This window comes from Homo sapiens, chromosome 9, assembly GCF_000001405.40.
Source record: "Homo sapiens chromosome 9, GRCh38.p14 Primary Assembly".
NCBI classification, from domain to species: Eukaryota; Metazoa; Chordata; class Mammalia; order Primates; family Hominidae; genus Homo; species Homo sapiens.
Window position 1 is genome coordinate 124,508,533 of NC_000009.12, and position 14,471 is coordinate 124,523,003.

Sequence of the window (14,471 nt, forward strand, 5' to 3'; positions counted from 1 at the left end):
ATAAATAAATCACACCCAACACCTCACTTATCTGGAACAAGAGGGACTTTTCTGGATAAGTGAAGTGAAGCCAACTCTCCCTATATATATTTTTTCATGGAAGGCCACTGAAAAAGTAGAAACGCCAACTATATTTAAAACCTATGTGTTTTCCAGCCAGTCACTGTGGCTCATGCCTGTAATCCCAGCACTTTGGGAGGCCAAGGTGGGCGGATCACCTGAGGTCAAGAAGTTCAAGACAAGCCTGGCCAACATGGCAAAACGCCATCTCTACTAAAAAATAGAAAAATTCACCTGGTGTGGTGGCTTGTGCCTGTAGTCCCAGCTACTTGGGAAGCTGAGGCAGGAGGATCGCTTGAACCTGGGAGGCAGAGGTTGCAGTGAGCCAAGATTGTGCTACTGCAGTCCAGCCTGGGCGACAGAGTGAGACTCCGTCTCAAATAAAATAAAATAAAATAAAATAAAATAAAATAAAATAAAATAAAACCTAGTGTGTGTTTTCCTCATTATGCCACTTAAAATTGTGTGTGAACATACAACAATAATACTGATAGACTGTAGTCCCGGCTACTCGGGAGGCTGAGGCAGGAGGATGGTTTGAACCCAGGAGTTGGAGCTGCAGTGAGCTATGATTGTGCCACTGCACTCTAGCCCGGGCAATAGGGTTTTAATAATTAATAATCATTAATTCAATAATAATAATTTTTATAATATAATTTCACCAACAGTCATAGCTAACTGATCGAATATATTCCACCTACAACGTAACAGACAACTTATTCCTCAATGTGCATGACCTTGTAATTATGTCTTTTTCACCTAGAGAAGTTCTTACAAGATATACTTCTCTTGCATATGGCTGAACCTAACTAGTCTCCCTATTTTAATATTCTTTTTTTAGTGTCCCTATTTTGTTTTATGTCTTTTGAGACAGGGTCTTGCTCTGTTACTCAGACTGGAGTGCAGTGGTACCATCATAGCTCACTGTAGCCTCGACCTCCTGGGCTCAAGCAATCCTCCTCCCTCAGTCTCCTGAATAGCTGAGACTACAGGCACATGCCACCACACCTGGCTAAGTTTTGTATTTTCTTTTGTAGAGATGGGGTTTCGCCATGCTGCCCAGGCTAGTCTTGAACTCCTGGGCTCAAGAAATCGGCCGCCTCGGCCTCCCAAAGTGCTGAGATTACAGGCGTAAGCCACAGCACCTGGCCTTAGTGTCCCTATTTTTTTTTTTTTTTTTTTTTTTTGAGATGGAGTCTCACTTTGTTGCCCAGGCTGGAGTGCAGTGGCACAATTTCAGCTCACTGCAACCTCCGCCTCCTGGGTTCAAGCAATTCTCCTGTCTCAGCCTCCCAAGTAGCTGGGATTACAGGCACCCGCCACCGCACCCGGCTAATTTTTGTATTTTTAGTAGAGACAGGGTTTCATCATTTTGGCCGCACTGGTCTCAAACTCCTGACCTCAGGTGATCCACCCACCTCAGCCTCCCCAAGTGCTGGGATTACAGGTGTGAGCCACCGCACCTAGCCTAGTGTCCCTATTTTAATGCAATGATTTTGTTTCTGGACTAATATCACTCACCCTCTGAATTTAATAAGAAATATCCCAGCAAGTCCAGGCGCAGTGGCTCACGCCTGTAATTCCAGCACTTTGGGAGGCCGAGGCGGGCGGATCAGGAGGTCAGGAGATCGAGGCCATCCTGGCTAACACGGTGAGACCCCGTCTCTACTAAAAATACAAAAATCAGCTGGGCCTGGTGGCGGGCGCCTGTAGTCCCAGCTACTCCAGAGGCTGAGGCAGGAGAATGGCGTGAACCCAGGAGGCGGAGCTTGCAGTGAGCCAAGATTGCACCACTGCACTCCAGGCTGGCAACAGAGCAAGACTCTGTCTCAAAAAAAAAAAAAAAAAAAAAAAAAAAAAAAATATATATATATATATATATATATATATATATATATATACACACACACACACACACACACATATCCCAGCAAATACCCACCACTAACATGTCACATACATGTAACAATAACAAAATCATGAATCTTTGCACCTCATTTAATAGGCGACCTTATGAAGTGGGGTCTGCTTTGTCCGCCTTCTTAAACAAGACAAACAGGTCTCTCTCCACACCATGACGCCATAGAAGGAACCAGCCTGGCTTTGTCCTAGTCTCCTGGTGAGTCCTTGAGCCCTGAGAAGGAGAATTGCTGGCAGAGTCTCTGGATTAAATCCCAGTTCTACCACTTTCTAGCTGTGTGACCTGGGACCAGTCACTTCCCCTCTCTGGGCCTTCTCTCTTCTCTATAAAATGGGGATGAAAGGAGACAATACGTGTAATGTATTCAGTGGCTGGCTGGTATGTCATGTGTGCTCAATAAGTGTCAGCAAAACACAAACAAACAACCAGCTGAAGGACTGGATGATCTGTCCTCAGAGGCCCTTTCCCTGTTGAGTATGAGATTGCAACATCATCATGGACACCGTTTGCCCTTCTGTGATGAGCGCCTCACCTCAGCCTGGGGAAGCCTCCAGGAAAGGCCTGATTTATCTCTGGGTCCACAGCAGCCTGCGTGGAGCAAGCGTTGGAACTTGCTGAATGACCACTTTCCTCCGCACTTGTAGGTAGAGCTCTGCTGCCTGCTCCATGGGTCCTGTCTCCTCTGACGGCATCAGTTGTCACTCAAGGCTGGGTGCTCCTCATCCCCTAACCAACCCTGGCCACAGTCACTGGTACCCCCTTCCTCTGTGCTGCCCCCTCCCACCCTCAGCCAAAGTGGGTGCTCTATGGGGACAGGGGCAGCCAGGGGTTACCAGCGTGCTGGGAATGGCAAGGCCCCAACTCAGAAGTGCCCCCCTATGTGCCAGGTCCCCAGCTAACCACTCCACACCTGCAGTCAGTCTCGAACCTCTCCGGCATTCTGGGAGGTAGGTAGTAATTCCCTCTCAACCCCCGATAGCAGCAGTTAAGAGAGGAGGAAAGTCAGGCTTAGAGAGACCAGGCATCTTCCCAAAGTCACCAGGCGAGGGTGTGATGGGACCAGCGTTCAAATCCCAGCAGTGGAGTCCAGAGCCCAGGCCTGCAGGCTGACTCCTCTCCACCCTGCCAGAGCCCCTGGGTGGCCTGTCCTTTCCTTCAAGCTCTAGCCCTGGTGGTCCCAGGCCACTAGACCTACCCAGAGGGGAAAGCAAAGGAGGGCTGTAGTCCTGACTCAGGCGCCCCCAACCTCCCTCCCCAGGCAAACAAAGCCCAGGGTCTCTCTCCTAACTGGGGACTTTCCCAAAGTGCCAGGCCCATTTCCTGGAGGTGGGATAAGGAACAAACAAACCAGAGGCCCAGAAACTGAAACAGAGAGAGGGACAGAATCATCAGGCTGCAGAGTGGAAAGGTGGCCAGAAAAAGAGAGAGAAGCTGCAGAGGCTTGGGCAGAAAATATGAACACAGAGAGAAAGGGGAGACGCAGTCGGAGGGAGGGAGGATGACAGAGAAATTCAGAGTGGTGAGGGTTGGGGAGAGAAGAAATGAGAGCGAGAAGAAATGAGGAAGAGAGAGAGAGTAGGGATGAGAGAGATTCAGACGGAGAGAGAGAGACTGAGGCAGAGAACGAGAAGCGGGAAGGGCCGAGGCCTGGAGAGCTGGAGGTGGAGGGAGGGTGGATGTGGAGACCCCGTGCAGGGCAGCGGAGGGGGCGGGCCTGCTGGCGGCAGCAGAGGCTGTTTCCGCTGCACCCCTTATCAGCCTGCTGCCAGATGTTCAGATCCGATGCCAATGTCAGAGAAGTCCATAGTGCTGGGTCAAGGCCGTGGCCAGCGGGAGCCTCAGCTGCAGTGTGGGGAGGGGGGCTAGGGGCCTGCAATAGACCTGCTCGCTCTTCCCCCTCTGCCTGGTGGCTCTCTGGGCTGGACCACCTCGTGGGGATGGGAAAGGCCAGGTGCCCCTGGGGCCAGTTCTCTAGACTGAGAGCAGGGACTTGTGGAGGCAGATTGGGGCTCCTGGCAACACGTGGACACATACATCTTTGCACATTCGAGAAAGCACATGGACACACACTCAGGCACATGAGTGCACAGTGCCACATGGGGACAGCTCACAGAGTGAAGAGCTGCGCCCCCACAGCTCTCCTCAGCACCCCACAGCCTGCTAGAGCCCCTGCTCTGCGTGTTCAGCTTAGGGCCCCTACCCCCCCGACCTCTCTCCTGACCCAGGACTGCAGCCCGCACTGGAGAAGCAAGATAGGAGCCTCTTTGTGGCTGGTACTATTCCTAGGGCCCACACTGCTCTTCTGTGAACTGGATGCACCCAGAACCTGCTGCCCCAAGGGCTGGGCAGAGGACCTGGGACCCTTAGAACATGAGGCCTGGGGGAGCCCCCGTAGGAGGTGCAGAAGGTGGCATCTGGCAGAGCTGGGCTCCAGCCTTGGGTCTGGCCTCTCCACCAGGCTCCTGGAGCGTGCAGTGCAGCTGGGGCCCCCAGCCTGGGGTAGCTTATCTCTCGGTGCACACGCTTGGCCCTCAAGGGGTGACCCAGCCTTGCTCCCCACATTCCACTTCAGCCACGCAGCCGGTGGGCGCCCCCACAGCCCCGAGACAGGGCCTGTGCTTGGAGGGTGGTCAGAAGCCATCATGCTGCACCACCCCCTGCTCTCGGCTCCAGCCCTGCACAGCCATCTCTGGTGTCTCTTCGCTTGTCTCTGCTTTCATCTCTGTCACGATGAATCTGTCACTGTCGGTATCTTAATCATGTTCTAATTTGTTTCTCTCTGCTATTTTCAGCCGCCTAGTCTGTTTTTCTTTTCTCTCTCTGGGGTCCTTGAATGGGGCCACATCTAAGGATACTGACACTTTTCTTTCTAGCTCACAGTGGCCAGCTGAGTGGGAATGTCTATGAGAACTCGGGCTTGGGTGAGGGACAAAGGGCTTCAGAAAGCAGAGACCTTGGAACTGTAGTGGGTGAGCTGGGGCAGCCCAGGGAGCCCAAATTCAGGCCCCCTCCCACCCACTGCTAGGAGTCAGCCTGGATGATGGACACTGATAGGGCCTGGTGCTGGAGGGCTCCCCCATGTAGTGGAGAAGCCTGGGGGTGGCAGCAATGGGGAGGAAGCTGGGGCTGGAGGTCTCCCAGCCTGAGAGCCTCCTTCCTGTTTGTAGGGAAGTCACTGCCTCACAAACCTGCTAGCGGGAGAAAAGGGAGGCCATGGGGACTTCCGGGAAGCTGGCCAAGGGCCCCAGGCTACCCTCCCTGTGCCCACAAGGGGCCCTCTGGCCCTGGCTTAAAATAGTACAGTTCCTCCTGTAATGGTGCTGGGCCCAGCCCAGACCTCAGAGGGCTGCTGGCTGGCTGCTCGTGCTGCTGGCAGAGGCCCGGGTACCCAGCCCTCCTCAGATTGTGGCTGGAGGCTTTGTCTTGGTAACATGGGTGGGAATGGGGAGTTGCAGAAAAAGCATGGGTTCCTGAGTCAGAAGCCCTGGATTCAGGTCTCAGCTCCAACACCGACTAGCCGTGAGACTTTGGGCTGGTCCATGTTGCCTCCCTGAGCCTCAGTTTCCACTTACGGAAAACAGGGTGAGCACGTGGCTTTTAACCTGAACGAGACCACGTATGTAGCTGATGCCTATGGACCTTGCCACACATAAAGTGGACACTCAAAAAATGGGAGTTCCTTTTGCCTCCAACTCACCTGAGGAAGTGCCTCCTGGAAGCACTCCTCAGTACCTACACTGCTCCTAGGACTGGGTGTTGAACAAGGGTTTGTGGAGAGGCAGCATGCAGGGAGGGCAAGGATGGGGCTGTGGTCTCCATGGTGAGACTTGTTGCCAAGGGAACAAGACTCCAAGAGCCCCGGGTCTGGCAGTTGGGCACTTTTGCCATAGGATCTGAGAGACTGATTACCACTGTGGACCTAAAACCCTGATGGGCAGCCAGGCCAAGGCTCCTGGCTCTGCTAAGTTTCTGCTCTTGGGGTGTAGGGGCGACAGCTCCCCGTACCTAGCCTCCTTTCATGTATTGACTTCACTGAGACCCAACTTTAAGCCAGCCACACTCAATCTTCCTTAACACTGCCCCCTGTCCCCCAGGACACAGGTACCAGCACCTCCATTTGTCTGACAGGGAAAGTGAGGATCAGAGAAGCATCTGTCTGGGTCAAGGTCACATACAACCAGGAAGGGCAAGAGCTGGAATGAGAACTCAGGTGGTGAGATCTCTGGTTGACGTGCCTGCTGTCTCATAGACTGCTTGAAGGAAACGACCCCTGGAAAGAGCTCTGTGTAGTCAGACTCAACCTCATCCCAGCACTTTCCCCTGCCATCATTTCCAGGGGCTTCTGTCTTCAGACTCTGACTTAATTCGGAGTAGCCAGCCTTCCCTGTTTCTTCAGGTATGCAGATGGTCTTACGTACCTCTGAGGGTTTGCACAAGGATAAGAATCACAGCACAGATCCTGCCGAATAGTAGGTGCTCAATCGATGCTGGTTTATATTCATTCCTGACATCTTGCCAGTTATGTAACCTCAAGCAAATGACTTACCCTTTCTGGGCCTCTGTTTTCTTATCTGTAATATGGGATCATTATAGCATTAACCTCACCGGGTTGCTCTGGGGAATCAGTAGTACTCTAATGCACACAAAATACTCAGCACAGAGCTTTGCTTTGTTTTCTAGATGTTACTTTATTATTCCTCCATATTATTGGCTGGCACCCAGGAAACTGAAAGCTCAGTGTCACATAAGCAGCAATTTATGTATTTAGAGCAGTGTCCTTTTATTCCATGGAATATTATCCCAACAGAATTTTAACAGGAGGCAAAAATGTCCAATGCTCAAATGCTTTTGGTAGAACCTGGGTTAAACAACATTAGTTTTCTTCAGGTGGGACTTCTCGAGACTTTAATATGCCAGTAAGGGCTGAGAATCAATGAGGATGATAGAGCGAGTGCAGCACTTCCCATATTTTTGGCAACAGAATTCAGGCTTCTTCCATGGAACCATCTCTGGGGGTGGGGTGGGGTGGGGGGGAGGTTCCTGAGCTCTGGGAAGCCATACCAATGTAGCGCCTGCAGTATTCCACATGACTGGGCAGCACCGCTTTTCAGCTCACTTTGGTTGGGTCTGTTCATCCACCTCTTACAGAATTAATCCTTTATTAATGTTTTTTATTTTTTTGTTTCTATGGCAAAAGGTTCACCCAAAGGCCATTACTGAGCTTTGCTACAAACTCTGGATATCCACATTCAGCACTACTGAATTGCTAAGGCTGAGCAGGGAGGAAGCCAGTTGTAACTTTAGTATCAGATAGACCTGGATTCAAAAGCCAATTCTGCCACTGACTAATGTGTCATCTGAAGCAAAAGGCTTAACTTCCTTGAGCCTCAATTTGCTTATTAGAAAAATGGGGCTGAGACCTACCCCTTGCAAGGCTGTTATGAAGATTACTGAGACGACATGCGTGAAGCACCAATTACGGCGCCTGGACTCACGAGGCGGTGGGCCAATGCGTCCCTTCTCCTCCCGGCACCTCTGTGTATCTGTTCCCTCTTGTGGGGGCAAGGAAGACAGTCTATTAATTCGTTCTGCAGCATTTGCTTTGTTCTAAACCCATCTCTTTCAAAACTCAAGGGCTCTCTGGTTTCTTGTGCTGGAGGCTGAGGAATGGGAAGGCAGCTGGGCTTCCCTCATTTCACACAAGAGGATTAATAGACTTTGATCAAACCCTCCTCAGCCTTTATCTTCCCAGCCTGAGAAGCCTTCATCTCTCCCATCTGTCTTCATACACCCCTCAACCCAAACTCTGCCACTTCTCTGATCATATGAGCAGGCCTACAGGACAGTTGGGCAGATCTGAGTTCAAGTACAAACTTAACACTCCTGTGTGATTTGGGCCACATCCCTTGATCTCTTAGAGCCTCCATTTTTTCAGCTCTAGAAAAGCTATTAATAGACCTCACCTATTTTCTGGAAAGACAGTATTACTTTGCTAGAGCACAGTGCATCCTAGGCCATCCATTGGCCTCTCATGCACTATGATGCTGCTCTCTTGCCCAAGACTCAGCAAACAGCTTTCTTTCCCCACACTCTTGAATGTGGCATCCAAGGCTCCCAACTGCTTCTCCAGCCTCAACTCTTGCTAATCCCTCCCACCTGCCATCATTCTTGCCATGACAGTCCCTTGTTTTACCTGAACACTCCCATCTTTCTGATACACAGCCAGGCCTTTGGACATGGATCCCTCTACCTGGCCTACCTGTGGATCCCTTTGCCTCGTGACTTTCTTCAAGGGCCACCTTCAACAACACTCATCTGTGAAGCTCTTCCTGACTATCCTCCATAGAACAAGCCACTCCTTCTCCAGGCCCTTACAACCCCACATACATCCCTAATGACAACCTCATCCCCCCTGCACTGCAAAAGTCTGTATCTGCCTCTCCACTAGGCTCACTTCTCTGGTTGTGCCACTCACCTTGGGAGAGTCTTTTCACCTCACTCAACTGTAGTTTCTTCACTTATAAAACAGAATAATCCTTGAAGTTCAATATGGTGCCTGGCACACAAGTTGGGCACTTCAGTCAGTGCTGGTTCATTGATTCAGGCAGTTCCGAGACACCACCTTCTGCCAGAGCCTCAGCAACAGAATTGAGGTGGGTGTCAGCTATGAGCAAGAGACACAGGTCTGAAGGCACAAGCCGGCGCCTCAGGACACGCCATCATCCCTCCCCAGAACCCCAGACAAGCTTCACAGACAGATGCCATGTGCAGAAGGATTCACATTTATTGGTTCAAATACAGTACCTAACACTTGCTAAACATGCATTTCACACTAATTGGTCACATTTCCACAGGTAGTCAATTCACAGAACAGGGCCCATCCCTTGCCAGCTGGCAGGGTGGGAGGTAGCAGAGGGCCTGGGTAGCCTGCAGAGCCCGCCAGCTATCATTTGGTCATGGAGGGTTGATGGAGTCAGGCTGGCGGGCAGCCCTTGGCCGGCCCTTTGGAGACAAGGGCTCAGGGACATCCCGTTTCCTCGATTCCTACACACAGGACTGTGGGTGGAGGTGGACCTAGGGCAGGTAACCTGGGGGTAGGCTCGTGGATGTGTGTGCCACTAGAGCCCTTAAAGGTGGTGTCTGTGGGAGTGGTGCTCCCTATGCCCTGGAGCACAGGAAGGAAATGGAGGCCTCTTCAGGGGGGTGACTAGTCCCTGGCTGGGTAGGTGGGAAGGAATCCCCAGACACAGCCCAGACATCACAATGCAGCCACCAGCCCCTATGGCAGACCTGGGATGGCAACACAGACAAAAACACCAACACCCCAGGGCAGGCGGGGCTTCTTTCCCGACAGAAACATGTAAACAGAGCAGGAGCTACAGTATTCTTTTCCCACAGGATTCCTCAGAGAGGAATCGACCAGGATGTCGCTTAAGAGGTAGTTTTTTTTTTCTTTTTCATGGAAATTTGAATCAACAACATTATCACCTATTACAAGACATTTTAGAGAAAGAAAACAATGGTCATTAAAGGGCAAAGACGGCAGGGCTAGATCTGGGGGACTAGCCTCCACCCATAACACAACTTTTGTTCTTGGGCTTGGAGCAGGCTCTGACCTTACTCACCGCCTCCCTTTGAGCCTACAGTTGATTCCTGTGCAGGCTGTGGTCCATTTAGGGCTTCAGGCCCAGAAGACGGATGCTAGATGGGAACTGGGCTAGACAGAGGGACCAGGCTTCTATGAGCGGGGAGAGGCAGGGCCACCGTGGCTCGTGTCGTAGGACAGCTAGAAGCCTTCAAGTCTCATGGTGGCCCAGGTCTGGCCAAAGCAGAAGCCCCAGCTTGCTCCAGACTTGGCAGGCTCTCTGGAGTTCCCGCCTTGGAGGAAACAGTTCAGGTATGGCTCCCAAGCCCAGAAAAAATGTTGCTGTGGCAGCCTAGAGAGGAGTTTCTGGGGATCCTGTAATTAAATACACATCCCTGAGCTGTGGCCCCAGAAACCCTTGTCTCCAGGCTAACCAGTTTCCAACACTTGGTGGAATGACTGCCGTTTCTCATCCTGACACACAGATAAAACATCATTTCACAGATACTGGACATAGATGCTTCAAGCCAAGGAGAAAGGGAGGATGATCAGTTGCAAAGGCAGAGGGGAGTGCAAGGGAACTCTCATGGGCTGGGGTAGGGGGAGGCAGGGGAGTAAGAGTAGCGGATTTTTTTGTTAAATTTTGTTTGTTTTTTGGGTTTTTTTTTTTTTTACTTTAAAAAAATCAATTAAAAATTCAAAGCTTAATAAAAGGGCTGGTCTGAAAGACTGGATTCTTAAAATAATTGCAAAAATTTCAAAAGCAACAAGGAAAAAAGATACACACCAGGGGCCCAGAGAGGAGGGCCTGGAACCACAGCTCAGCTTTCTGTCCTGCTGAGAGGCCAGGGTTCCCTTAATTCGACCAACCTTGGACATGGCTTAGATGCTGCCCACAGTGGGTTTGTCTGTCTCCATCAGTCCCATTCCCCCAGGAAATCAAGAACAAACAAACAAATGTAGGAAATGGGTAACAGAGCAATGCACCTAGCTCAGAGCCCAGGATTTTAAGGATCTGGTAACAGTGACCATGGCAGGTACTCACCTCCCTGAAAAAGGGTGGCAGGTGAGAGGCAGGTTGATGTGGAGTGGGTGACATTCAGTGATGCCACAGAAACCCTTAGGATTCCCCATTCCTTGCTCTGGTTCTGGGAAACAGGACAGGGAGGATCCTGCTTACTTCCTCCTATCCCTGGGGGCTTGCCCACCTCTCTTGTGAGTGGGGCATAGGGGCTGGGTGTCCTCTGAGCCAGGTTGAGCGCTTTGAGACAGATTCTGGGGAATTTCTCCAGATTAACGACGAGACCACCAAACCTTGCAAAGGACTCCAAAAGTCTACAAAGGCAGCCAGAGAGCATGAATAAGTTCCAAGATGCCAAACTTTTGTCTTGGGACAAGAAAACATCAAAAAGGAGAGGGAGGGAAAGGCTTGCATGTTTCAATGTAGTGCAAGGAGGTGGGATTCTCCTTTTCCATGTAGCTTTCAGAGTCGTATTTTTATGGCATAAAAATTCTCACTCGGCTGGGTGCAGTGGCTCACGCCTGTAATCCCAGCACTTTGGGAGGCCGAGGCAGGCGGATCACGAGGTCAGGAGATGGAGACCATCCTGGCTAACGTGGTGAAACAATGTTTCTACTAAAAATACAAAAAAAGTTAGCCGGGTGTGGTGGCGGGCGCCTGTAGTCCCAGCTACTCAGGAGGCTGAGGCAGGAGAATGGCATGAACCCGGGAGGCGGAGCTTGCAGTGAGCCAAGATCGCACCACTGCACTCCAGCCTGAGCGACAGAGCGAGACTCCGCCTCAAAAAAAAAAAAAAAAAAAAAAAAAAAAATCCTCACTCAAAGTGAGTGCTTTTGGTGGTTGGGGATCAGAGAGAGGGCAGAAAGAGAAATTAGAGAAAACATGCACAACTTTTCTCTCCTTCCACTCGCAAAAAGGCTACCTGTTAACCAAACATTATGGGGAAGAAAGCAAAAAACAAACACACCAAACCTCCCCTCCAACCTTTCTCCGTGTCCTTCAAACCAAATTCACAAATACATCTAGTGGCTGACCTAATGTCTCCACGCTGCTAGCTACACTCCTACCTTCTCCTCATAATACCTGAGTTTGCAATGCAACACATTCACTTTACCCTGTTTAAAAAAAGCCCACGTCATAAAAGGACTGGTGCAGAAGACATTAAAGACGGTCCACAGGTCAGGCTCCGGCTCGGAACACACAGCCACTTTGCTCTGAGATTCTGCAGGGCTCTCGGCAATGAATGGGCTCTTTGTTCTGTGGAATCTGCTGCAAACATTTGTAAAACTGGATTTGTACAATGGCAACTTGCAGAACCTTTCCCCTACTCCACAAATTAACAACTTGCTCTGTTCAATACTACGTTGTTGGAGAGACATGTTCTTGCCTCATCAGAGAGCAATTTCTTTTGACACCCAACACAACGGGTAAAATGTTTAATTTGAAAAGCAATTTCAAAAATAATAATTGGACAGATAGAGGCCTCAGCAAAGAACGATGCTGTACACAGGAGCTGTCTTAGAGAAGGCATCTGTGATATGTGTCTCCTTCCCGATCTGGAGGAAAGCAGCTCAGAGTCTGACCTGTGGCCAAAGAATGTGATCTAGTTGGTTAAATAAAATTCAGGGGAACAAGTATCGTGAACTTAGAAATAAACAGATACACACGAACACACAAGAATCTTCCCACTGACGTGAAAAACATGCTAGCTGGAGCTTTTCCTGAGGAACATGTCTCTTCCTTCTCAGAGCAACTGGGGAAACGGCATTGAGGAGTAATGTTCCGAGTTTTAGATCCATCAAGGGCCAAAATCATCACTCTGCTGGTACCCGTAACATTTCACCAGAAAGAAACAATTACAATCAGACATGGACTACCCAGTATGCACACGACGTGGTGCCCTCCTGGGTAGCTTTACTAGGTTGAGTTGAGGAGACAGCAAACAGCCTTTGACTAAATAGGCAGAAGAAGGTGCCGTGGGCCCTTCCAACCTACCCAGGCATGCAGCCAACTAAGTGGTCTGCTTGCCACACTGGCTGTGAAAGATACCTGGGTGTAGGCAGGACAAGCACCTGAAAGAGTTCAAAGACAGACCTGGTGTAGCGCTGGCCAAAGTCAAGAGGGTAAGGAACACGTCCTGGGATAAGGTGGGGCAGGTAGTGAGAGGTCAAGGAGTCCAGGCCATGTCTGCAGAGGTAGCAGCCGGGCCATTAGGAACCTGAGGTAGTTTAAAGCCCCCCTTCCCTTCCAGGTGCTTCTGGCTCCAGCCCTCCAGGCCTTGGCTGGCCAGTCCACTGCTGAAGTAAGGGGCAGCTGAGCCACTCTGGGCCTTGGGCTTTGTGTCCTGGGTCCCTGAGGAAAACTGGTCTCACTCTGGAGAGAAAAGGAGAACTTGGAGAAGAACTTAGGGGCAACATTTCTGGTCAGCAGACAGGTGAATGGTCCTTCTCATTGTTTAAAAAAGCCTGAAGTTTTCGGATTTAGACCTGAGGGTGCGGTAGGAAGGGGAGGGGAGAGGAACAGATTTCAAAAGGGGAGTGTCTATTCTTTTTGCAGTCTGGCCTTGCCCTACTACCCTTTGAAGAAAACAAGGTGAAAGGAGAATAAATCAGTAGTGGGCACCAGGCTTCAGAACATGGCATTCTGCTCAGCTGGTTTTTCAAAGGGCCAATAGGAAGTCAAATGTGTAAGGGAGTGGGAAGGAGGAAGGTGGGCCTCAGGAGATCCAGGTAAGGAAACTAGGTAGCTGGGGGCCCCGAGGGAGCTGGGAGGCGAGTCCTGTGGATCAAGTGATTGCCAGGACTTTGCCTAGATGGAAAGTTCGCAGTGGTAGACAATGATGGTGGTGCAGGGGTAAGGGGGGCAGCAAGGTGTGAGAACAGAAATTCTTCTGCCCTTAGGACTTGTTGGGTGGAAGGACACCTGCCTTAAATATGGTCACTGTGCCCTACTCTCTTAATTTTCACGCTTTCCAAGGAAAGGACGTGGCTCAATCCTCACCTCCTACCCTGTTGCCGTCTCACCAACCTTGCTTAGTGAATCTCCTAACAACACTTTGCCCCCTTACAGTGTGCCGTTTTATCTGGCAATTCTGTGGCTAAAAAAGGCAATTTGCTCTCTGACAGACAAATGTATGAGTCTGCTGAGAAAATGTGGAAAAAGTAGGGATGGCCACACCCCCCATTTCCATTGAGGTAGTCATCTTTGTCAACATTATGGAAATAGTCATCTTAGCCCCATCCCACCCTCTCCCTCAAAATACAAAAGAACTATTTCTAAACAATGACAACACTGTAACATTAAACATCTTCACATTCTGTAAACTGTAAGAAAATGCATTGGCTGCATTCACACAAAAGCATGTGCATCATGTTGAAGGCCATACATTCAACTCTGTCGTGAAATAAATATATAGAAAAATGAGGTTAAAAAAACAGACAAACAAACAAAAACTCTTCTTGCTATGGAGGCAACGGGAAATGCTGCTCCACAGCCTCCATCTTGGTCTCTCTGGCTTTTCCCTCCAGAGCCTGTCCTGCCCACCCAAGACGCTGTGGTTGGCCTGAGGAGGGCGCCTGGAACAGGTCATTCCTTGCCCACACTGGTCTTGCAGGAATGCAGCACCACCTTAAAGAGGAGGGGCAGCTGCTCCAGGGGCACATTCACCATCTTTCCTGGGAACAAGGGGGGAGAAGAAGAGTTAGCAGTGGTCACTCTAGTGGACAGGCAAGTCAGCCTCCTTGGGCTGGTGGAGGCAGAGTATCACCTTGCTGAGTGACTGGGGCAAGAGAAGTGCCAGGAGTATCACAAAGGTTGGACACACTGGGCTAACATCCTAACATCCAGACCCCTTTGGGTGCCCAGGGAGCCTAGTAATGGTGCCA

The 14,471-nt window shown here is 50.4% G+C and overlaps 1 protein-coding gene across 6 annotated transcripts in view, besides 1 other annotated feature; it reads right to left on the reverse strand.

Moving 5' to 3' along the window:
• Positions 3,524-4,076: an enhancer, noted in NCBI's record as "H3K4me1 hESC enhancer chr9:127274335-127274887 (GRCh37/hg19 assembly coordinates)". NCBI's record gives its function as "activates a minimal SCP1, AML or CMV promoter by ChIP-STARR-seq in naive H9 embryonic stem cells {active_cell/tissue: H9 hESC(naive)}" and the evidence as "EXISTENCE:reporter gene assay evidence [ECO:0000049][PMID:30033119]".
• The window catches only part of NR6A1 (nuclear receptor subfamily 6 group A member 1), a 254,037-nt gene continuing 248,308 nt past the window's right edge, over positions 8,743-14,471 (reverse strand). For all 6 annotated transcript variants that reach the window (NM_001489.5, NM_001278546.2, NM_001410996.1 and 3 more), the window contains one exon: positions 8,743-14,261. In NM_001489.5, the coding sequence (NP_001480.3) occupies positions 14,173-14,261 (89 nt within the window). In that variant the 3' untranslated portion in view covers positions 8,743-14,172. The remainder of the gene's footprint in view (positions 14,262-14,471) is intronic.